At 35.4% G+C, this 26,144-nt stretch overlaps 1 long non-coding RNA gene and 1 pseudogene across 1 annotated transcript in view, besides 3 other annotated features; one reads left to right on the top strand and one right to left on the bottom strand.

Annotated features, from left to right (window-relative positions):
• The window catches only part of PTCHD1-AS (PTCHD1 and PHEX antisense RNA), a 1,100,142-nt gene that overhangs the window by 757,072 nt on the left and 316,926 nt on the right, over nucleotides 1–26,144 (top strand). The gene's annotated exons all lie outside the window — the stretch shown is intronic.
• Nucleotides 1,202–1,389: a silencer, noted in NCBI's record as "fragment chrX:22552803-22552990 (GRCh37/hg19 assembly coordinates)". NCBI's record gives its function as "represses an EF-1alpha promoter that drives an FKBP-Casp9 reporter gene in an ReSE screen in K562 erythroleukemia cells {active_cell/tissue: K562}" and the evidence as "EXISTENCE:reporter gene assay evidence [ECO:0000049][PMID:32094911]".
• On the bottom strand, nucleotides 8,134–8,240 carry RNU6-266P (RNA, U6 small nuclear 266, pseudogene; annotated as a pseudogene).
• Nucleotides 8,677–9,876: an enhancer, noted in NCBI's record as "P300/CBP strongly-dependent group 1 enhancer chrX:22544316-22545515 (GRCh37/hg19 assembly coordinates)". NCBI's record gives its function as "activates an origin of replication core promoter dependent on BRD2, BRD4, P300/CBP, MED14 and CDK7 cofactors, with strong dependence on P300/CBP, by STARR-seq in HCT116 cells {active_cell/tissue: HCT116}" and the evidence as "EXISTENCE:reporter gene assay evidence [ECO:0000049][PMID:35650434]".
• Nucleotides 9,619–9,748: an enhancer, noted in NCBI's record as "active region_29489". NCBI's record gives its function as "activates an Ori minimal core promoter by ATAC-STARR-seq in GM12878 lymphoblastoid cells {active_cell/tissue: GM12878}" and the evidence as "EXISTENCE:reporter gene assay evidence [ECO:0000049][PMID:35858748]".

Below are 26,144 nucleotides of genomic sequence, written 5' to 3'. Positions count from 1 at the left end.
TATGTCAAAATCATTGCTTTAAGCGGTATGTCAAAATCATTGCTTTAAGCGGTATGTCAAATCCATGCAGACATTCAAGGTAAGAAAGAGATGTAATTAAATCTTTTCAGTAAACTGGCTAAGCACTCATCTGCTGCCACTGATAGATACAATTTGGGGGTTTCTAGGATTTCTTTACCCTCTCCCTTAATACATTTAAAAAAAATAATCTTTAATGCCCTAAACGCCTGTCATCCTATAGCAGAATTGGTATTACTTGGGAATGTTAAGCCATTTCTCAGATGAATAAAGAAAATTCACCTCAAAAAGCTAACTGGATTGTTTTTCCCAACATGAACAGTGTATGACATATATTACATGTATGTATTACTTATAATTACATGGTATATGTAAGTACATGTATGTATTACGTAATTATGTAATTGTATGTAATATATGTGAGGTACAACATGTATATATGTGATATATGAAGGTGAAGGTCGCCTTGCTCCCTGTCCTGCTTCATCTGTGCCCTGTTGTGAAACATAATAGCAAATATATCAGCCCTTAGCCTTTGGGCAGTTCTAAATACCAGATTCATGGAGAAATCCAATGGGAAAATAGTGCTCTCTTCATAAAAGCTTTTTCAGACCATGTGCTCCTGAAATCAGCAATTTTACCTTGAGAAAAATGGCCTTTTCAGTTATGTGCAATAACTGTTCTACCATGAATGGAAAAGTGTCTTAAAATGCCAGCAATGTCCCCAAATGAAGAATTCTCCACTTGCTCAATTTCACTGATTATTCTGTTGAGTTACTTAGCCTCTATGCTTCTAAAACATATTCTGAGATTGCTACTGAAATGCAGCATTTGTCGTTGAGGGCTATCAATGGTACAGCAAAGACTTACTCCAATGCACGGTACCAGGAAAACACTCGTGACTGCAACTAGAATATATTGAGTGGTTATAGTGGTGTGTACTTTGGGGTCCAAATAAGTTAAAACATGGATCAAGCTGCCCAGGTGTCTTTCAAACTGATTGGGAAGGTAAAATATAGAGAAATGGAAAATCAGCAAAGATTTACAAAGTAACAAATGGAATAACATATGGGACAACTATTGTATCAGTCAGCTACTGCTGCTGACAATCAGAAATTCTCAGTGGCATACAATAAGAAGAATTTCTTATGCGTGATTCAGCTGGAGTTTAGCTGACATAGGCTGAGCTCAGCTGGGCCTGGCTCCAAGCCACGGGGTTGATTCAGGCCTGTTCCACTTGTCTTTTATGCTTAAGCCAGGGGACTGCCTACATGTTTTTCTCATGGTGTCAGTGGTCAAAAGCTCCCAGAGAAGAGAACAAAACAAGTAACGCTGCTTAAGGCATAATCTTGACTTAGCACACAGTCAAATGCACCGACATGACATTGGCTACAGTAAATGACATGGCGAAGTCCAACATCAATGAGGCATGCAAATATAATAATATATATGGAAATATAAAATATAAATATTAAATATAAAATAAGGGAGGGGAGGAGGGAGTGAATATTTACTGAAAAATAAACTACCACAATTATTAATTTTTCAGGGCAAAGGTAACATGGAATACTAGAGGAAGCAGCATAGTTGGTAGTTAGGAGTTTTGAGAAACCTTGGAACTGCAGTTCCTTGGCAGTTACAGGTATCATCTATGACTCCGGGCCTATCTATAAACCATCTGTAAAATTTTTCATGACTTTTTGAGTCAGCGAGAAGGTAAGTTACAGTTTTTCTCATCTTCAATGAAAATGGGTAAAATACAGTAAGTTCCCTAAACTAGAACTTATTAGAAAAGAAAACCTATTTTGTCATCATCAAATTAGTGTTTAGGTATTCTTTTCCAGTGGTATTTTTGGGGAGAAGTTTGCCGATATTTTAATCTGTTCATGAATGCTTCCTTACGAGAACTTGCTAAATGTTGCAACCAGCCTCCAGGTTGCGCTGTCTCCGGGTTAAGATTTGTGTTCTGCTTACCACCACACTGGCTGTTTAAGTAAGCACTTCCTGAAATTTCTAATCACTTGATATAGTATGAATAACACCCATGGATGCTTATATAGGGGAATATTTCTCTGATATTGCCACACATTCGGCCTGTCTTCATTTAACCCTGTCAGTGGGGTATGCTTTATAAGTCTGCAGGATATAGTTTAGAATGGGCATGTGTGTAAGGAAGATAAAGAAATATGTGGAGAGAAACTCTCACCCTTCTCTTTAAACAGCTGAAGTGGGATTAATTCATCTGGATGACAAAAATTCATTAACAGGAGGAGGTCTAAATATGAAATTGGGACACCGATCGGTGAAATTTTATTGTAACAAACTATTTCTAACTGTGTGACCTTGGGGAAGACACATTTTTCTGGGCTACAGTTTCTTCATCTGTGAAAAAAAAAACTTTGAACTACATGGGACTTTAGAATTTTAGTGCTAACATCCTGGTTCCTTTAAGCAGTGACATTTTATTTTCCAGTATCAAGTTAACATACAATATAGGTAGCACAGAATCCAAGATGACAAAGGGAGAGAAAAATATGAACCAGGTTTCTGCCATCGAGGACAAACGTACTATACACAGAATAAGAGAGTTCAAGAAGCAGAGTCAGACATACAGGACCAGAGTTTCAAGATGAGCCCAGGGTTGCTCCTAGAAGGGCGCTAGCCTCAGTACCATTAGGCAACAACAGGTTGAATAATAGGGCTTCGCAAATAAAGTTATTTACCTCACACATTTTTGTTCGTAGCTTTAGATAATGCATGAAGTCCCTGGCTGCATATATCATAGGCAGTGTTTTTTTAAATCTGTTAGAAAAGCTTTCTTTTTCCTCATTGTAAGATTGGGTGGATTCAATCTTTGAGTCTCCCCAGAGTTAGGATTTCTTAAAGAAAGTAGACATTAGTGTCTCTGAATCCTTGAAATGCTATGGAAAATGTTTCCCATCAGGAACTCCTTACTTTGATTTTCAATATAAACCACCTGCATTTGGGTTTCTTTAACAATTGTAATAATTCCACTTTTATAAAGAAAATTATAAGAATATTCTGAAATTTGTATGCCGCTGTCTTCCTGCAGGAAAATGCAGGTGATGTGAAATATAGTATGGTATGGATTTTTCTTTTCTTTTTTAAATGTCCAGACTTTATTTATTGGCATTAATCTCTAAACAATACAGTATAAAAACTATTTATATAACATTTGCATTCTGTTAGGTATCATAAATAATCTAGAGATTATTTAAATTAAATGAGAACATGAGTGTAGTTTACATGCAAATATTAGACCATTTCATATAAGGAACTTGAACGTCTTCTGATTTGGGGCTGCATGGAAGGTTCTGGAACCATTCCCCTATGGATATGAAGGGTGAGTGTGTACAATACTTATTTATACTTTTGTTGTATATAGCTCCCCTGAATGTAAATTTCACAGAGGCAGGAGTTTTTGTCTGTTTTGTTCAAGGGTGTCCCTTCTCCACTTTATTTTTTTGTTTGCTTTGTAAAAGATCAGTTGGCTGTAAGTATTTGAGTTTATTTCTGGGTTCTTTATTCTGTGCCATTGGTCTATGTGCCTATTTTTATAGTAGTACCATGCTTTTTTGTATTTCCAGCACAGTAGTACCTGTACATATTAAGTGCTGTTAGATATTTACTGAACATGAATCAATATATATTTAGAAATGAATGAGTTTTCTAAGTATTTATGATTGTTTAACTTTTATTTTTAGTTTCAGGGGTATATGTGCAGGTTTGTTATATAGGTAAACTTGTGTCGTGGAGCTTTGGTGTACAGATTATTTCATCACTCAAGTACTATACTTTGTACCCATTCCCATTAGTTATTTTTTCTGATCATCTCCCTCCTCCCACCTTCTACCCTCAAGTAGACTCCAGTGTCTGTTTTTCCCCTTTTTTGTATCCATGTATTGTCATCATTTAGCTCCCACTTATACGTAAGAACATGTGGTATTTGGTTTTCTGTTCCTACATTAGTTTGCTTAGGATAATGGCCTCCAGCTCCATCCATGTTCCTGCAAAAGACATGAGCTCATTCATTTTCATGACTGCATAGTATTCCACAGTGTATATGTACATTTTCTTTATTCAGTCTACCATTGATGGGCATTTAGGTTGCTTCCATGTCTTTGCTATAATGAATAGGGCTGCAGTGAACATACATGTGCATGTCTTTATGGTAGAACAATTTATATTGCTTTGGGTATATACCCAGTAATGGGATTGCTGGGTTGAATGGTAGTTCTGTTTTCAGCTCTTTGAGGAACTCCTGTACTGCTTTCCACAATGGTTGAACTAATTTACACTTTCACCAATGGTGTATAAGCATTCTCCTGTTTCCACAACCTTGCCAACATCTGTTATTTTTTGATTTTTTGATAATTGCCATCTTGACTAGCGTGAGATTGTATCTCATTGTGGTTTTGATTTGCATTTCTCTAATGATCAGTGATGTTGTGCTTTTTTTTAAATTTAACTTCTGGGATACATGTGCAGAATGTGCAGGTTTGTTACATAGGTATACACATGCCATGGTGGTTTGCTGCACCCATCAACCTGTCATCTGCATTAGGTATTTCTCCTAATGCTATCCCTCCCCTAGCCCCCCACCCCCTGACAGGCCCCAGTGTGTGATGTTCCCCTCCCTATGTCCATGTGTTCTCATTGTTCAACTCCCATCTATGAGTGAGAACATGCGGTGTTTGGTTTTCTGTTCTTGTGTTAGTTCACTGAGAATGATGGTTTCCAGCTTCATCCGTGTCCCTGCAAAGGACATGAACTCATCCTTTTCTATGGCTGCATAGTGTTCCATGGTGTATATGTGCCACATTTTCTTTATCCACTCTATTATTGATGGGCATTCGGCTTGGTTCCAAGTCTTTGCTATTGTGAATAGTGCTGTAATAAACATGCGTGTGCATGTGTCTTTATAGTAGCATGATTTATAATCCTTTGGGTATATACCCAGTAATGGGATTGCTGGGTCAAATGGTATTTCTGGTTCTAGATCCTTGAGGAATCGCCACACTGTCTTCCACAATGGTTGAACTAATTTACAATACCACCAACAGTGTAAAAGTGTTCCTATTTCTCCACATCCTCTCCAGCATCTGTTGTTTCCTGACTTTTTAATGATCACCATTCCAACTGGCATGAGATGGTATCTCATTGTGGTTTTAATTTGCATTTCTCTAATGATCAGTGATGATGAGCTTTTTTTCATATGTTTATTGGCCACAAAAATGTCTTCTTTTGAGAAGTGTCTGTTCACATCCTTTGCCAACTTTTTGATGGGGTTGTTTTTTTTTTCTTGTAAATTTGTTTAAGTTCCTTGTAGATTCTGGATATTAGCCCTTTGCTACAAAGAGAATAAAATACCTAGGAATACAACGTAAAAGGGATGTGAAGGACCTCTTCAAGGAGAGCTACAAACCACTGCTCAACGAAATAAGAGAGGACAAAAACAATGGAAAAATATTCCATGCTCATGGATAGGAACAATCAATATCGTGAAAATGGCCATACTGCCCGAATTAATTTATAGATTCAATGCTATCACCATCAAGCTACCATTGACTTTCTTTACAGAATTAGAAAAAACTACTTTAAATTTCATGTGGAACCAAAAAAGAGCCTGTGTAGCCAAGACAATCCTAAGCAAAAAGAACAAAGCTGGAGGCATCACACTACCTGACTTCAAACTATGCTACAAGGGTGTTGCGCTTTTTTTCATGTGTTTGTTGGCCACATGTATGTCTTCTTTTGAAGAGTATCTGTTCATGTCCTTTGCCCACTTTTTAATGGGGTTGTTTGTTTTGGCTTGTAAATTTAAGTTCCTTATAGATGCTGGATATTAGACCTTGGCCAGAGGCATAGTTTGCAAAAATTTTCTCCCATTCTGTATATGTTGTCTATTTACTCTGTTGATAGTTTCTTTTGCTGTGCAGAAGTTAGTTTAATTGAATCCCATTTGCCAAGTTTTGCTTTTGTTGCGATTGCTTTTGTCATCTTTGTCATGAAATCTTTGCCAGTTCCTATATCCAGAATGATATTTCCTAGGTTATCGTCCAGGGTTTTTATAGTTTTGAGTTTTACATTTAAGTCTTAAATCCATCTTGAGTTGATTTTTGTATATGGTGTAAGGAAGGGTTCCAGTTTCAGTCTTCTGCGTATCGCTAGCCAGTTATGCCAGCACCATTTGTTTAATAGTGATTCTTTCCCCATTGCTTGTTTTTGTCAGTTTTGTGGAAGACCAGGTAGCTGTAAGTGTGCAGCCTTATTTCTGGGCTCTCTCTATTCTGTCCCCTTTGTCTGTGTGTCTGTTTCAGTGCCAGTACCCTGCTGTTTCGGTTACTGTAGCCCTGTAATATAGTTTGAAGTAGAGTCATATTATGCCCCCTCCTTTTTTGTTTTTGCTTAAGATTGCCTTTGCTATTTGGGCTCTTTTTTGGGTCCATGTGAATTTTAAAATAGTTTTTCTAGTTCTGTGAAGAATGTCATTGGTAGTTTGATAGGAACAGCGTTGAACCTGTAAATTGCTTTGGCAATGTGGCTGTTTTAATGATAGTGATTCTTCCTATCCATGAGCACGGAATGTTTTTCCATTTGTATGTGTCATCTCTGATTTCTTTGAGCAGTGTTTTGTAATTCTCATTGTGGAGATATTTTACCTCTCTGGTTAGCTGAATTGTTAAGTATTTTATTCTTTTTGTGGCAATTGTGAATGGGATTGTGTTCCTGATTTGTCTCTCGGGTTGGCTGTTGTTGGTGTATAGGAATGTTAGTGATTTTTGCACATCAATTTTGTATCCTGAAACTTCGCTGAAGTTGTTTATCAGTTCAAGGAGCTTTTGGGCCAAGACTGTGAAAACTTTTTAGATACAGAATCATGTTGTCTGCACACAGGGATGGTTTGACTTCCTCTCTTCCTGTTTCAATGATCTTTATTTCTTTCGCTTGCCTGATTGCTCTGGCCAGGACTTGCAATACTATGTTGAACAGGAATGGTGAGAAAGGGCATCCTTGTCTTTTGCTAGTTTTCAAGGGGAATACTTCCAGCTTTTGCCTGGTTAGTATGATGTTGGCTGTGGGTTTCTCCTAGATGGCTCTTATTATTTTGAGGTATATTCCTTCAATAACTAGTTTATTAAAAGTTTTTAACATGAAAGGATGTTGAATTTTACTGAAAGCCTTTTCTGCATCTATTGAGGTAATCATGTGGTTTTTATCTTTAGTTTGGTTTATGTGATGAATCACATTTATTGATTTGTGTGTGTTGAACCAGCCTTGCATCCCAGGATAAAGCCTACATCATTGTGGTGGATTAGCTTTTTGATGTGCTGCTGGATTCGGTTTACAAGTATTTTGTTGAGGATTTTTGCCTCTGTGTTCATCAAGGATGTTGGCCTGAAGTTTTCTCTTTTTTATTGTCTCTCTGACAGGTTTTGGTATCAGGATGATGCTGGAATCATAGAATGATTTGGGGAGGAGTCCCTCCTTATCAATTTTTTTGCAATAGTTTCAGTAGGAATGGTACTATCTCTTCGTATATCTGGTAGAATTTGGCTGTGAATCCTTCCGGTCCTGGGCATTTTTCGGTTGGTAGGCTGTTCATTACTGAATCAATTTTGGAACTTGCTATTGGTCTGTTCAGGGCTTCAGTTTCTTCTTGGTTCAGTCTTGGAAGGGTGTATGTGTCCAGGAATTTATCCATTTATTCTAGATTTTGTGGTTTGTGTGCATGGAGGCGTTGAGAGTAGTCTCTGATGGTTGTTTGTATTACTATGTGGTCAGTGGTAACATTCTCTTTGTCGTTTCTAATTGTGTTTATTTGGGTCTTCTCTCTTTTATCCCTTTAATAGTCTAGCTAGCAGTCTAGTCTATCAATTATATTAATATTTAAAAAAAAACAGCTCTTGGATTCCTTGATCTTTTGGATGGCTTTTTGTGTCTCGGTCTCCTTCAGTTCTGCTCTGATTTTGGTTATTTCTTGTCTTCTGCTAGATTTGGGGTTGGTTTGCTCTTGCTTCTCCAGTTCTTTTAGTTGTGATGTTAGGTTGTTAATTTGAGATCTTTCTAACTTGCCGATGGGGACATTTATTGAAAAATATGGAATGCTTCATGAATTTGTGTGTCATCCTTGCACAGGGATCATGCTAGTCTTCTCTGTATCATTCCAATTTTAGTATATATGCTGCTGAAGTGAGCATGGTATGGATTTTTCAAAGTGTATAATGAGTCACTATTAATTTTTATATTGAAGACAATATCATTATCATGCTCAAGATCATTTGTAGGGCTTTTATCCAGAGATGTGATGAAACAATGCTCCAAACTCTAGGACTCCTTATGCAGTGATAGGAGAAAAACAATGACCAAACACTTATGAAACATAGGTAGTTAGATTTCTTTGAATAAAATTACCATTTTTTAAATGTGAAACATGTCTTTAAGACTCCTGCATGTTAAGGTCAGCAGTGATTAATTTAGAAACTGTGAATGTTAATTGAAGGCACAGTTTCTTCTGGAACCTTTTAAACGTTTGACTCATGCTGGTTAATTAGAAGGGCAAAAATCACTCCATTGTGTAAATATAGGGAGAGCTTCTTTTCCCCACTAATGTGAATACATATTTGTTGGGTTGTATGAAAGGAGAGGAAGTAATTAGCCAGGTGAAATGGGTAAGGTGACAATGACTTTGAGATTTCAAATTATTTCCAATCTTAGGTTTTACTGAGCTGTGCCAGTATACCTGGTCCTAATCCAATAGAGAGTTAAAAACCAATGTTCTAATGCTTTAATAAGGTTGGAATTATACACCATGGTTTTGTATCCGTAGATAGGTAGCCAAAGCATTCTAAGATTTCCTCCTGCCATAATTTTTAATCTAACTAGTAAATTATATAATCTACAAAAGACTGCAATGGCCAAGTCTTGGAAGTATCAGTTACTCAGATGAAGCCATTTCTTTGTATTTATTGTTGGTTTGACCAAACCTAAAATTGAAGAATTTTTCGGAATTGTCCTTGCTTCTCTTTCAGATAGCCTTTATAAAATGGAAGACATTTATAGAGCATCTAAGATTTGGGATAAAGTTTTCACACCTTCTCCAAATCTTTCTCATGAGGTAGGTGCAACCTAAATAATCAAAGGGAAATAATATCAGGTTGAGAAATGTATAACATTAAATTATTACAGTGTTTGTGTATAAAGTGAGATACACTCACATAAGAGTTGTTACGCTTACATGGCAGACCCCTGGGGCCCTTCCTAGGAAAATTCACGGCAAATCACGGTAGTTCAGTATCCCTCCTCATCACTACCATCCTAAAGAGGTAAAATCTATTAAAATCAGCACTGAGGGCAATAGTGGCAGAGAGAAGGCTGAAAGAGATCATGGCTGTAATGCTATGGTAGTGGAGATCAGGGTGTGGTTATGAATTGATGAATTGTGTCTTCTTGCATCAGTGCTTTCTTCGTTCCTCTTTTCTCTTCTGTACACTCCCATCCTGAGTCACTGGAAGTCTTTGAATGCCTGGTTTCCGGAGGAGAAAATCATCTCATAGTGTCTCGATTTGTCATAACTAGACATAATGACTAAGAACCAATTTCAGTTTTCTAGCTTTTGTTTTTTGTTTGTTTTAATTCACAGTTATGTAGATATAGCCATTGAGTAGAAGTTATAGAGTCAACCCACTTCTATTTTGGATGTGTTTCCTCCTGATAAGTTGAGCATGAAATCTAAATCTCATGAATTTTGAGTAAGTTATTTTGAAGTCTATATACTGTTTAGAGTTTTGACCAAAATAGTTTGTTACAGTATGCTTTGTTTTACTTATTTAAGAGACTATATGGCCAAAATATAAATATACCTAAAACTATAATTTCTAAGTGCACCCATTAGGAAAAAAAGCATTTATCAAATATTTTCACATATATTTTAAAATCTCACTTGATACTAGAATAAAATTCCATGTATTTTATTCCCTCAATATGTCATTAAAGCAGAACATGCTGTGAGGAGGAAATAAAAAGAGTTAAGCACGTTTTCATTGTGGAGTTCCACTCTCTATGTATAGAACTCTATATGACGGTCATGGAAATTAAAATGAATTTGATGTTAGCAGTAATTAATTTGCTTATTCTAATAATATAATGAATTAACAGATTTTTGTTCTTATATCAAGTGGGAAATGATTTTATCGTTATGTAAATATAACAAAATGTAAAAATTTTAAGGAAGGACTGCATTTAATAATGATTTAGATAAAACAAGGGGGGTTTTTATTTGGTTTTGGGGGTAAAGATTTTTTTGTTTTGGGGTGTTTTTTGGTTTTTTTTTAGCATTTTAGGTTTGGGGGTACATGTGAAGGTTTGTTACATAGGAAAACTCATGTCATGGGGGTTTGTTATACAAATTATTTTATCACCCAGGGGTTAAGCCCAGTACCCGATAGTTACCTCTTCTGCTCCTCTCCCTCCTCCCTCCCTCCACTCTCAAGTAGACCCCCAGTGTCTGTTGTTTCCTTCTTTGTGTTCATAAGCTCTCATCATTTAGCTTCCACTTATAAGTGAGAACACGTAGTATTTGGTTTTCTTTTCCTGTATTAGTTTGCTGAGGATAATAGCATTCAGCTCCATCCATGTTCCTGCAAAAGACATGATCTCGTTCTTTTCTATGGCTGCACTGTTTGCTTTTTAATGTGGAAGGAAACTATTTTTTTGCCTGTCGAGTTCTGTTACATAGGTTCACAGGCTAAACACATCACCATCACAGTGAGTTGTGTACAAGCTGTGAGTAAAGGAAGGCACCAAATCTCTGTTCAATGTTCCTATTCCTCCCATGAGTTAGAGATGGAGGCATAAGAGTAGTCCTTGAGTAACGGAGAGGTTATGCTCCTCCGTTACTCCATCTAGGAGACCTTATGCTCTGAGAACCATACCACATTCATGTCTAGCCATCTATATATCTAGATTTTTAATGAATCATCTATGTGAGCAATAAGATAGAGGGCTGTAGTAAAGGATTCTTTCAGTCAATGTGAATAATTACACTGAAAGTATTTGCTTTGTCAAACATATTATTAATATATCATAAAAAGTTTTGGGCTAGGCACGGTGTCTCATGCCTGCAATCCTAGCACTATGGGAGGCCGAGGCGGGTGGATCACCTGAGGTCAGGTGTTCGAGACCAGCCTGGCCAACATGGTGAAACCCTGTCTCTACTAAAAACAAAAATTAGCCATGCGTGGTGGTGGGTGCTTGTAATCCCAGCTACTCGGGAGGCTGAGGCAGGATAATCTCTTGAACCCAGGAGGTGGAGGTTGCAGTGCACCGAGATCGCACCATTGCACTCCAGCCTGGGTGACAAGAGTGAAACTTCATCTCCAAAAAAAAAAGTTTTTGATAACATATGTGAATTTATAAGACCTGTCCGGGAAAATGTATGGTCATAAAAGGAAAAAGCATGTGCAATTATTGCTTAGTGTTTTTAGTGTTTCATGAGTAATGGAAAAATAACTGTACAAATATTAATGTGATCAAATGAAACACATTTAAGCAGATTTAAAAACCATAGCAAGTCATCTTTTTCATTAAATAACAGAAAAATTATGTCCTGACAGGGATCTCCAAACATTTTTCTACCCAAGTATTGTTTAACTTTATGTCATGTATGCTCAGTAGAATTCTTCAATTACACTCTAAATTTTCTAAGTGGGTTTCCCTTGGAATTTTATGGAAAAGGGGAAATATCTTTGGACTATTTTATTATTTCCAATAGAAAAATGCATATTTTAGCACTAATACTTTTTCCCCAGGAAAACTTCAGGTCCTGCGTAATAAAATATTGGGGAAAAATTGATGTGAGTTTATATAAAATACTAGGAAATCAAGATGGTGGGGCATAATTTAGGGGTTTTGAAATCCACATGGAGGAGTCAGTGTAGAGTCTCAAGTTGTGTCACAAAATGACGTTGTAATCCACAAAGCTAGTTGAAAATGATTATTTAGCTCATAGGCACACACAAAACTTCTCATTTGCCCTTCTGAATGACTGTGAGAACAAGCCCATGCTGCCCTCGGGACAGGAAAATGGTCCTGATTCTCATGGCAAAAAGGTATTGTGAACCTCTTTGGCACAGCTTTAAAGAGCACTCCCATTACCTTCTTAGTCTTCCAGGCAGGATCTTCTTTTCTCCCACCACCTCCTTAATTAAAGCAACTCTAAGTTTTCAAACTGTGCCTCCCACCAAGCTTTGGTTTAAAGGATTCTGACGACAAATATGTAAAACTATTAAACCAACTAATCACCAGCAGCTCATTCCCTTGCCTTCGTTTCTCCCAGAAATCTTTCCTCCATAAGGAAGTATTAACATATATATTTTTGACGAAGCATTGTATAAAGACATCCTTTTATTTCTTATTTAATTTTAATGTTGAAGTCTACACATCTTCAGAAGTGAATTGTAATATAAGTAAAAAATCTAAAAGATTGGAGATATTTTTACTAATTCAAGTGTGTTAGCCCACACAGATTATCCCTTTCTAAATGAGTATGTATGGGTGGGGAGGTAACTCATCTTTTCATCTTTCATATGTATTCATTTAAGTATTTCAGGTTCAAGCATAGCATAGCTATGAAAAACCAAGTCCTAATAATATTGTACATGGAAATTAAGCTTTAATATACCATATACTTTATAACTTTTACTAAGACTTTTACTTTCAAAATGTTTGGCCTATACTGTAAAGATAAAGACAAAGTGGAGAAAGTGGCAGAAAATTCAAATGGTGAGAAAGCATGAAACTTGTTAAGTGTTTATGAGTGTGCTTGGGTGTCTAAGGCAGAGGATTTGCATGAGGAAACAATAAGATATAATATTAGAAAGAGGGCTTAGAGCCAAATTGTGAAATCATTGACTGAAAATTAGAAAGACCTGAAAGGGTCATTTACTTACACCTTTTCTCTGATGCACAAACCTCCTCTCCAGCATCAGTAAGAAGCAGTCATCCAGTCTGTTACATATTTCCCATGTCATCCAACACATGACTTCAAAGGCAATCTATTTCATTGTTTGACAGCTCTAATAACTAAAACTTCCTTCTGTTAGAACTGTAACTCCCACCATTGCTTTTTGTTTTGGCTCTGGAATGCCAAATTTTTTTATCAATTATTTTGAATGTTAAAAATCATTAAAAATAACACTGTGATACACTTCTGTGTGATTTATGTCAAATTCCATAAGCTATAACAATTTGAATTCATTTTGCTTATTATCCAGAAGAGATGAATGTATTTCTTATTATGTGTCAAGCACTGTAAGTAATTTTCATATGCAAATGTATTCATCCTCATAACCTATGAGGTAGGTACAATTATTATCACCAATTTTTCCAAATAAGGAAACTGAGATACAGAGAGGTTAAGTAACTTACCCAAGGCTATATAGCCAGTGAGTGGCAGAAACAAACAGGGCTACAAGTTAGCATACCCTAGTAGGAATGACTTACTTACCAACTCATTTCCAGTGTCTTTGCATTTAAAGAGGGAACTAGAAGAGATAAAGTAAAATACTAAAAACGGAAACATACTTCACTGGATTGCCATAAGTTGAGCTTAATGCTTTTTTTCTCATTTCCAGGTAACTCATCAGTCAATCCAATTCTTCCATCTTATATATGACTCTCCATATCCTTGTTCTCTTTCAACTCATCTTTCCATTTAATTTCTTATTTTCACTTTCAAATAAAGAGTTGGGAGGGCTACTTTACTAGGTCTTAAGCATCTTGTATACTGGTGTATTCATTTTCTTTTCTTTTGAAATCAACAACTAAATATTTATATTATGTGTAACTCACAGATCTTGGTAGTGTAATTTTAGGAAATGGTAACATTTTGGAGTACAGAATGTGTTCTTTCTCCAGATACATCTGAGTTGCTTTAACAGTTTCATTTGACTTTTTATACCTGTCTTTATAGTTTCAGCAGTTGTTCAAAAGATTCCATCACCATAGATCACCATTTACTAATGTTACCAATATACAATGGACACAGCCTTGAAATTTGAATCTTCTAGATCCCAGTAGGTCTATACAGAGAGATAGGTTAAAAAAAGATGGAAAATCTGCTTCATAGAAGTAACTTGTCTAATTTTAAGTAAAACTCTACCATTTCAAACTCAAAATACAGGTACAATAGATGTACTAACCATGTTAGGGTGTGTGTATATGCAGGAGTATCTGTCAGAACTCTGCTCATATCGTTTTGGCATTCATAGTTCCAACAACCACAACTCCCTGTCTCAGGGAATTTTTGCCCAATGCAGTATGCATGACCAAAGCCCAGGGCTGGTTGGAAGTGTCAGGAAGTTACCATTGGTTAACCCAGTAATCAATGACGAAGTAGAACTGGTAGATGAATACTCAACGCTCCTTGCCCTTCAGGTAGAACAATGATGAGGCATGTTCTACCCAGTTTCCCAGAGGTTCTCAATAGGATTCAGTCCTAGTTTCCCACAGTGGTAACCAATCATTAACACACTTCATATTGACCACTTTTGCTTTTCTTTCTTGTTTCTCCACTCCCTGCTGGTAATTACCTCCTAAATGTGGGCTGAAACCTTAGTCTGAAGTTTTGGTTCTGGGGAACCTCGGTGGATATTCTCTTTACAGAAGGAAACTCTGTATAGGCATAGTCGTCTAGAGATAGACACTGCCCTTGGAGACCATGTTGTCTCAATTTTTCATGCTGGTACTTGGCAACTGTGTTTGCAGCTATGTGTACTATCTTTATAGATCCTTCCTTTTTCCTGCTGTCACCGTCATTAGCACCCAGATTTTTGTTTTCTTTACTTCTGTTTTCTCCTATTGTTACATTCTAAACACAGAAACACTCTGCTTAGTGGGGTGAGGTTCTGGGCATGCAATAGTAAGATAGGCATTAATCTTTCTTCTCCTCTGTAATTTACTATTATAATCAACTCAGTCCCCAAATTCATTCTTCCCTCACCCTCATATCTGTTAATATTGCTACGTTCTATCCATTAGGCCACACAAACATCTCCTAAACTCAGCCACCTACCCTCATAGACACACTCCCAGCTGCAGACCTTATTATTCCTTGAAAACCTCAGTTTCGACACCAGTCCTTCAAATCTCTAACTACCCTCACTCTCTTTACATTTCAGTCCGTCATCTACCCTACTTCCAGAGTGTTTTTCACGATTATAAATTTTACTGTGTTATACTCTTGTCTTAAAACCCTTCAGAGGTGCCATATTACCTTGATAACTGTTCAGTTCCTTCGCATGGAACACAATATCCTTCATTATCTGGCTCCTAATCACCTCTGCAGACATGTCATTGTTCACACACCCAACTAAGCACTACTATCCAGCCCCGGTGAGTCATTTTCAGTTTCCTGAACACATCATGACTTTTCAAAGGGCCTTCCAGGTATGCCTGAGTCTGAAGCCTGTTCTCTTTCACCCATACTATGGCACCTCCCATGTGCTATTTCACAAATGCTGCTTTAAGCAAAAATTTCCTGGGAGCGAGAATGAGAAGGAAGGGAATATTATTTCAAGACTTTTACAAAATAACTGTAGACATTTCACTTGGGAATTTCTAAGTGCAATAGAAATCTGAGTGAGTAGGTAAAATAGCTACATAAATAAAATGCACACCTTTTAGGTCACATGGGGAGATTGCCTTGAGGTTTAAATGGCTGAGATCATTTCCACATTCCTCACAGCTAGCCATCTATAATCAAACAGCAATACCAGTCGGCACACATTCATCATCTCCAAAGAAAAGGAAAGTCACCTCCATAAATCTCAAAATATGGGATATTAAAAGTTGGTTTTTATAATAGCTGGTGCAAAACAATTTGTGCAAACACCAATCAAAAGTAACTTCTACTTTAGTTGAATCCATGTCCCAAGATTCAGAATTTACTCCTGTAATAAAATCTACTACTACTCTTTTCCTTACTAAAAGCAAACATAAATAGACTGTAATAATTTAAATCATTTTTAAACAAAAAAGTTTGGGTTTGATTGGCATTAGTAAATTCACTATTTAATATATTGGGTACCAATCAGCTTCTTACAAACACTTCTAGAATGTTATGCCCTAGTTCACACCTTCACCTCAGGCAATTCTCCCTTTCATTACCTTGATTGACTGTGGAAGAACAATGCTTCTAAATATAACTCCCCTTCTGAAATGCTCTTGGAATTTCTTCTATCTACCTCCTATTTTCTTTACCAAAAAACACTATTTCTCCCTCAAATAACAACAGGTCCCAAGATGTCAAATTTCTAGAAAGAAACAGAAGACAACACACTCTGTATTGCTTGTTCCTTAGTCATTTTTCAGGGACTAATTATATATAATTAATTGTCTAGGCCTATGGTTGGTAAATTTTTTTTCTGTAAATGGTCAGATAGTAAATATTTTAAGCTTTTCAGGCTGTACATTTCTGTTAAAACCACCCAACTCTGCCACTGTAGTACAAACACAGACCTAGACAATGCATAAATGAGCATGGCTGTGTTCCAATAAAACTTTATTTACAAAAGTAGGCAGCAAGTAGATTTGGCCCATGGAACATAGCTTGCTGACACCTGATCCAGGCCACTTAAATCCTCTCTAACATCCCAGACGCCAACAACGAAAGGTCATTCAAATTATTTTAATACAATTTTGTTGAGCAAAGCTTATAACAATCGCCATCTTTCTTTGAAGACTTCTGATCTCAAGGTAGATATAATGATGATAGGTACATCCACAGCACATGAAATGATTAGAAACAAGACAATAGAGACATTGAAGTATACACTATCAATTGCATGTCAAAGGGAACATATGATTAGAGACAGAGCAGAGACTGGGAAAATTCATTCTGGCTATTCCCTGTCAAGACTGAATGGGGATATGTTAATCCAATCAATTTGGAAGAGTGGAAAAGGATGAGATTAGGTTACAAGGCTGGCTTCTTCCAGTTACCAATGACCGTCAGAATTTGAAAAAGTCGTAGCATCTCTCAGACCTCCATTTTTTCTTCTGTAAAATAGAGATAATACCTGCCTTGATGTCTTTATCCAGGCTGCTGGAAGATTATATATATGAAAACACTCTTTAAATAGTAATTGTCAACTACAAATGCTAGCTTTATAAACTCATTGGAGTGTGAAGGAATCTATAAGTTTGATGATTCTTTTGAAGACTTTTACTTGATTCCAATACACTGTGGAAGCCCCCTGATCATTTTAGTTGCTACTCTTTTGAACTTTTCTGTCTTTTTTACATCTTCCTCCAGGAACAATGAGCAGAACTAAACTACATAATACAAATGGACTTCCTATGCCAAATAGCAAAACCTTTTAGGGGTTATGGTTGTTGTTGTTTTTTTTTTTTTTTTAATGGTGGTGTCCTAACTCAATTTGTAGTCATTCCTGCTAAGTAAGAAAAGAGGGATGGAGTCACCTTAAAGCTAATACCCAGACACCTCCTTCTACATAAAGGAGAGCAAAAGAAAGGCAAGGCTATGAAATTGAACCTATGCTCTTCCTCAGCTCTCATTTTAAACCTTATTGGCCAGACCTTATTAATTAAAACTAATTTATTTATCTATAGAAAGATCAGCTACTGGCATGTAATAGTTCCTCAAACCGACTAGAAGATACGTGAGTCAACCAAAATACACAAATCAATCATTAGTGGGGATGTTAGGGCTTCAACCAAGCTCAGTCAGTTGAAAGTGTGGTTAATTCAACCATTCCTGGATGCCTCACAACATCTACCTTGGTAAAACCTTAAAAACATTTCAACAAATTTCTCTGCTATTTCTTTTTTAATCCTGAGTGCCTCTTGTTCAATGATTATCTCTGCATATCATTGAAAACATTGCATTATTGGTTTTAAGAGGCTCTTGAAATTATGTTTTTGGGCTTGTCTAATTTCTAATTTGCTCACACCTGCAACCATTTCTGAACTTCCATATTCCTCACTTGAGGAAATCTTTAAAAAATAAAAAAGTTAATCTTCTTCAGCTCAAAACAAGGTTCGATGTTTCACTCTTGTTTCTGTTATATAGGCAATCTCTTTAGTACAAGGCACTGAACTCAAATATAAACCAGAGGGGAGGTCTTAGAGAAAACTTCACTAGGGCCCTAGAGCCCTCTATATCTAGAAAAGGTAGGTTTAGTTAATAGAAATGGAAGATTACCAAAGTCCCTTTAACAAGAGACTATTGATTTTTGGCTTATAAATTATATTTCCCTCCTGTTTTATCATGCACATGAGTATTGCAAGAAAAGCCTAGGCAGTCTCTTTTAGAATATGCTAAATAAATCTAAGATAGATATATTTTAGGTATGCCAGCCTTCATACCTTATAGTAAAAGTCAAGTCCATCTTAAATTTTCCTCCAGGGGCTTAATTATTGAAGTACCAAAATGACATGGCTACAAAACAATACCATGTGTAAAACTGTAGCTTGAAATCTGAGGAAAAAGGCAACCTGAATTTCAATATCTCACATTCAGTAGGTTTGCATTTTCTCTCTTTGACATTTCACTGCATAGCCATGTTTTGTCTCACTGAATTAGAGATTTTCCTTACTGCTCTTACTCAAATATTCTTGCTAACCATCTTTTGTTTCTCTTGGGGCCTTGAAAGACCAGCAGTCTGAAAGTGCATCTTCTTCACATCTGTTCATCGTTCTGTGACAGCTGCAGCATAACCTGGGCGGCATACTCGTATACATCATATCCATGTTGATTGCAATGTGTTTCAGTAGCTTAAAAGCACATTAAAATTAAAATGATCTTTGTCAACCCCCAGAAATTGTGCTGCTCACCAAGGAACACTTTGCCAGTGACGAAAGGTTCATATTTTGCTCTTCCCCTCGTGATACACTGGGGAGTTTTTTTCTTGTAAGCTGAGTGAACGAGCTGCCAGACATATCTCCTGGAAATGCCTGGAAGAGAAATGAGCTAAGAGGAAAACAGCAGACTTTGAAAGAGAGATTTGCCAGCCTGCATCAAATCAACCACCCCAACCTGGGCTCCTCACAGGGACTCAGTAAGTTCAGTCTACTGGCAAATCATACACCATAATTAACTATCCTTAATTCAAATGAACATTTTTATGGGTCCACAGGGTCTAGAGAGAAAATCGTTAGCTTCACTCACTAATTTTCAGTTAATCAGCAACAGTTCACTCAGCAGAACACTATTAGGGCAGCCTTGATTAGAAGTATAGGGATATGATATTAATTGGCTTCTTCTAACAGGGATCAGGATGCTAAATGGCAAAGACCATCTGTAGCTCTGGAAAGGAAACACTTGAAAAGCACTTTTTGAAGGTAAATGATAAGACAGGAATGCTTTTTAATTTGTAACTCCGTCTACAAAATATTTTATGTTTCTTTTGTCATTATTGTTTTGATTCTTCTCTTTAGAGGCAAAAACTTCTTTTGAAACCTATGGTTTTAAGGGACATGCAAATGCTGAAGCCCGTTGCTGTTTGACTAAATATTTTAGATTTTGACTTGAGGGCACAGTTTAAGATTATTGAATATATGTATAAAGCTTATGCATATATACACATATTTACATATATGTGTGTGTGTTTGTGTATCCTAGCAGAACACCAGATACACAGAATTTCTTGAACAAAATCACTTGATAAAAAGATGAAGCAAAGGCATTCTTCATAGCTGCTTTTTATTAGATATGTCTTTGAAAAATTAAAAACACATGCTAAATAGCATTTATACCGAGCTTTGAATGAGAGCACAAGGAGAAATTTCCTATTCAGTAAAAATCCAGTCAGAATTTTATTTATTGCAGTAAAATCTCAATTCTCCAAAGTACTTTGAGAATGGAGGATTTAGTTAATTTAATTTTCCTACTAATTAAAATTTAAATCTAGTCTCCCCTTACTCTAATTCTAATTGTTAGATATTTTCTTAGTAAGTTGAGCAAAGGGAATGTAATTGAATCATTGATCATTTAGGATTTTCACTAGGGTCAGTAGGAAGATCTTTTTTCATACTATAATACAATAGAGGTAGGTAAAACCGGCAGATTTAAATGAGTAGTAACTTTCTTTTGACCCTGGGACTATTAGGTGAGCACATTCCCTCTGTCTCTCTGTGTCTGTCTTGTGCTATCTCTGTGCCTCTCTCCCTCTCTTAACTAAATCTCTGAAATAAACTTGCTTTATTCTCCTTCCCCTTTAGTTTTTTCTAATGGATTAAAAACGGACTATTATTTGAAAATGTCTTTATGGTATTTTACAATTAATAAAAATAGTAATTTTGTAGTTCCTAAGGAAAATATCTCTTTGTCTCAATATCTTGCATAAAAATAAGTCAAAGAGCCAAGGTTTGAATCTATTATTCATTTGAGGGGAGCAGTACTTTAACATAGAGAAATTAGAAGATAACTGGAAATTGAAGAATCTATAAGATCCTTTCCAACTGTAACAACTAGAGTCTAGGACCAAGTGTTAACCTCTCTCTTTTTACCTAACAGAATGTGTGATTTCTAAGGATTATTGAGATCTTCATTTCTGTATCTTCTGAAAGGATAAATGATCTTGTTCAGATTTGGCAACATGGCATTAAGCTAATATCCACCCCTCAACTAAAAACACACAGAAATTCTGAATAGAATGTGAAGCAAAATAAATCTACAATCATATCAGAATATTTAACATAACTATTAGAAATGAACAGATGAAAAACAAAATGAATAAACGTATAGCATATTTAAAAATTTCAAGCTCAATCTAATATATATGTATATATGTATATGTGTACATATATACATCGATGTAGATATGTATGTGTGTAGATATATACATCGATGTATATGTGTGTGTACATATATACATCGATGTATATGTGTGTGTACATATATACATCATGTATATATGTGTACTTATGTATATATATATATGTGTGTAGTTATGTATATATGTGTGTGTGTATATATGTGTATATATAACCCTGCATCCACTATAAAGGGCTATAAATTGTTTCTAAAACACATTAAACATCTGAAGACAAAATAAATCTTAAGAAATCCTCCCCCAAATTATATAAGACAAACAAAATTCTCTAACTACAAGTCACTTAAATTTAAACTAACAAGAAAATGGTAGTCACACAAAAGACATACAAATTTGGAAACTGAAATAGGCACTTCTAAGTAATACGTGAATTAAGAGTGAGTCCGAATTTTTAAAAAACTGTAAGTATACAAAAAGACAGTGAAAATCCTCCATAGTAACACTTGTGAAAGGCAAACAAAGCAATACTCAGAGGTAAATTTATAGCTTTATGTGCTATAAATATGTGCTTATTTTTTTTTTATTATACTTTAGGTTCTGGGATACATGTGCAGAACGTGCAGGTTTGTTACATAGGTATACATGTGCCATGGTGGTTTCCTGCACCTATCAAGCCATCATCTAGGTTTTAAGCCCTGCGTGCATTAGGTATTTGTCCTAATGCTCTCCCTCCTCTTGTCCCCCACCCCCCGACAGGCCCCGGTGTATGATGTTCCCCTCCCTGTGTCCATGTGCTCTCGTTGTTCAGCTCCCACTTATGAGTGAGAACACGCGGTGTTTGGTTTTCTGTTCCTGTGTTAGTTTGCTGAGAATGATGGTTTCCAGCTTCATCCACGTCCCTGCAAAGGACAGGAACTCATTCTTTTTTATGGCTGATTGTTTAGGTTTTTAAAAATAAGAATTCAGTTGGCATGATACGGAAAAAAAAATAGTGATGATGATGATGATGATATTAGTTAATACAATAAAGCTAATACTGTGCTATTATTAGGTACCAGAAAAAAAAAATAAGAATTCAAACTTAAGAGAAAAATATGTAGCAAACTTAAAGGAAGAAATAGGAAGGAAATGATGACAACAAAAGCAAAATATATATTTAAAATACAATAGGGATAAAAAGAGAAATAATATAACCCAGACTTGGTACTTTTAAAAACTGAATGAAATGGACAAGCCCATAGCAGGCTCATTCAATAAAAAAAAAAAGACTGAAATTTTTAAAAAGTAAGAAAGAATTTGTACAGATTCTTATAGGGGGATGCAACTATAGTTAGAGTGGGGATTTTAAAAATAAGAGAATCATAAACAATTTTATGCCAATACATTTTTAAACTTAGAACAAAATAATTTTCTTAAAAAGCATGTTACAAAATTGGTTAATGAAGACAAAACCTAATCAAATCAACAATTTTTTAAAAATTAAATAAGAAATCAAAACTATTCCTCATCCCCATGCAAGGTATCAGTTGCAGTTTCACAGGAAAAGATATTCATCTTATACAAGCACTTGCAAAAATATAAAAGGTAAATATATTCAATTATTTTTATAAAATATAATAAAATATATTAAACCAGAAATATATTAAAACAGAAAATTTCAGTACAATTTAAGGATATTATAAGCAAATATAACTGAACATAGATGCAAAAATACAGATAATTTATTACAAAATATAATTCAGCTATGTATTAAAATGTATAATGAACAAGTAAAGGAGTGTGTATTCCCCAAATTCAAGAATAGTTCAGGTTTTAAAATCTTGAATATAATGAAATATAATCTTTTAATAAAAAATTAAAGTAGAAAAGAATCATCCCAATAAAAGTAGGGAAAAATAATTCAATAATATTCAAAATCCTTTGTTGTAAACTTTAACTCTTATAGTAAATATTATAGCTAACATTAAAATTTTAGAGTTGTCATAACTATTTTTACTATGATCCTTAACACTTATCATTGTAATGAAGATCTTAGCCAATTCAATTGCTCTAGAAGTAAGAGGGATAAACTCTGAAAATAAAAAGGCAGAATTGTTTATCATAAATAATATGATTGGCTACATGAAAATTTAAGACATTTCTAAAACTCTTAACACCAACAGCAAGGCTTCTGTATATAAGATTAGCCACAAAAATCTATGGCATCGCCATAGTTCATTAAAATAGAAAATATCAATAAATATTTCATCCAAGATAACAATTACATTTTTAAAAAGACAAGAAATAGCTCCACCAAATTTTGTATAATAATGTTTCTAGAGTCTTTAAAATGTAATTCAACAATATAAAGGATGATATGATTGAATGGAAACCCATACCATGTTTTATGGTGGTAAAATTCAATATTGAATAGATTTTGTTTTTTTGCCTCAGAGTAATCTATAAATTCAGTGTAATTTTAACAAAGTCCTGAGAATTTGGCAAGTTAGCTGAAATTCATATGGAAAAGGAAAGGACCTAGAAAAAACAATTTGGAAAAATAAAAGAGTAAGAATAAGATCAGATTCCTTTCTCCCTTGCCATGTGTCAAGGCTGATTACATAAACATCTATTAATCAAAACTCGATGATAGTGACAAAGTGCTAGACAAACGTTAATGGAATAGAATAAAAGGCCTACACACACACACACACACACACACAGAGCGAGCGAGAGAGGTTAATGTTTTACGTAGATGACTTTCAAAGAAATGCTTATATAGAGTATGCTTTCATATCTTCATGAAAATAAAATCAAGTCACTATAGCTCCCATCATAAAATGTTTTCCAGTTGGATTCAAGTCCTAAATAAGAAAGGCAAAACATTATGACATGATAATGAAGAACTACTTAAGATACAAAATCCTATATTACATATCCTATAAATTAAAAAAGTGGATAAAATCCATGTTAAAATTAAAATTTGTAAAATGACAAAAGAAGTAATAAAATTTAAACCCAGGAGATATTTGCAGTACATATGACCAATAAATAAATATTTTCAAGAATATCTTTTTAAAATTCCTAACATCATTACAGAATAAGTTATAAACCTGGTAGAGGATTGGAGAGAAAATTCACAAGTGAGAAAATCTGTATGACCGTTTAATATGTGAAAAGATACTTAGCCTCACTGACCATCATGGAATTGCAAATAAAACAGAAATGAGATATAACTCCCTAATTACCAGATGAGCAGTTATAAAGGATAATCAAATAATACCGGGCATCTGAAATGTGGAGAATAGAAACTTTCATATACTTATGGGGGAAAGCGTAAGTTGGTATAAACACTTTGGAGGATAATATGGCAATAGCTAGTGAACTACAGGAGATTATCATATGTCTTAGCAATTATACATCTGTTTATGTACCTTGTGTATATTTAATCTACTTTGGAAAAGGCCTATTTCAACCTACTACAAAGAATTCCCATAAAGTTTCAAAGAAAAAAGAGGAACTCACAGTTAAAATAAATTACAAAATCCATGAGGAAACAAGGCATAATGGATGAGAACCAACAAAACACAAGCAATAGAAACAGATCTAAAAAACTTTCAGATATCGAAATTATCAATACAGAATATAAAAGAGCAATATTTAATCTTATTAAAGAAAAAAGCTCAGAAATATGAGCAATATACAAACTAAAAAAAAAAAAAATTAAGCAGTCAGGCACAGTGGCTCATGCCTCTAATCCCAGCACTTTGGGAGGCCAAGCCTGGAGGATCACTTGAACTTGGAGTTTGAGACCAGCCTGGGCAACATGGTGAGACCCCACCTCTACTAAAAATTTTTAAAATAAGCCTGGCGTGGTGGCATGCACCTGTGGTCCCAGATACTTGGGAGGCTGAGGTGGGAGGATTGCTTGAATCTGGGAGGTCGAGGCTGCAGTGAGCTATGATCAAGCCACTGCACTCCAGCCTGGATAACAGAGCAAGACCTTGTTTTTTTTGTTGTTTTTTTTTGTTGTTGTTGTTAAGCAAATTTGGCCAAGATTCAAATAGAACATTTTAAGTAAAATAATTAAAAATTGAAGTGAATTTTGTATCAACAACAGATATGAACTAAATGAAAATAAAAGATATTGAATAAAAACATAGACCTAAGTATAGCCATTGTGGAAGACAGCATGGAGTTTTGTCAAAAAAAACTAAAAATAGAACTACCATATGATCCAGCAATCTCACTGCTGGGTATATATGAAAAGAAAGGAAATCAGTATATCGAGGAGATATCTGTACTCCCATGTTTATTGCAACACTACACAATAGCTAAGATGTGAAATCAACCTAAATGCCCCCATCTACAGATGAGTGGATAAAGAAAATGTGTGTATACATAATGGAATATTATTCAGCCACAAAAATGAAGTCCTGACGTTTGCAGCAACATGGATGGAACAGGAGGACATTAATTTAAGTGAAATAAACCAGTCACAGAAAGACAAATATCACATGGATAGCACATGTTCTCACTCATATATGGGTGCTAAAACAGTGAATCTCATGGAGGTAAAGAATAGAATGGTAGTTGCCAAAGGCTGTGAAGGGAAAGGGGGAGAAAAGGATGAAGAGAAGTTAAGGGGTGCAAAAATACAGCTAGATAAAAGAACTAATTTGTTGTATATTTCAAAATAGCTAGAAGGTTTATGTTCCCAACACAAAAGACAAATATTTGAGGTGGTGCATATCCCAGTCACCCTGATGTGATCATTAGACAGTGTATACAGCTATCAAAATATCACATGTACCCCCAAAATATATACAACTATTATATATCAATAAAACATAAATGATATATGGATCTAAGCAAATGGCACAAAATGTGGCCTAAAATGATCAAAGTTGGAAAATGTGACAGGTTAAAATACATGAAAGAGTGAAAGTTTGAATAAGAGATCTAACTGGTAATCCAGAAGGAGATAGTAGAAAGTAGAAAAGGCAATATTCAAAAACACAATGGCTGAAAACGTTCAAAATGTGGTTAACAAGAGAACACCAGTTCTCTAATCTGGAAAGCCCAGTGAAGCTCTACAGAATATGTAAAATTAAACATATATCGAGACACATCATAGTGAAGCTGTAGAACACCGTAAAAGGGGGAAAATCTTAAAATCAACCAGACAGGAAAGACAGATAACCTACAAAGCCAGAGTAATTAGACAGATAGCTACCACCTGAGTAGCAACAATGTAAGCTAGAAGACACTGGAATAATATTGTCAATCTGCTAAGTGAAAAAACAACTATACCAAACAAACATGTATTTT

Source organism: Homo sapiens, chromosome X (genome assembly GCF_000001405.40).
Source record: "Homo sapiens chromosome X, GRCh38.p14 Primary Assembly".
In the NCBI taxonomy this organism is placed as follows: domain Eukaryota; kingdom Metazoa; phylum Chordata; class Mammalia; order Primates; family Hominidae; genus Homo; species Homo sapiens.
Note: the sequence above shows the minus strand (reverse complement) of the source record. Positions and strands in the feature narration are given on the sequence as shown.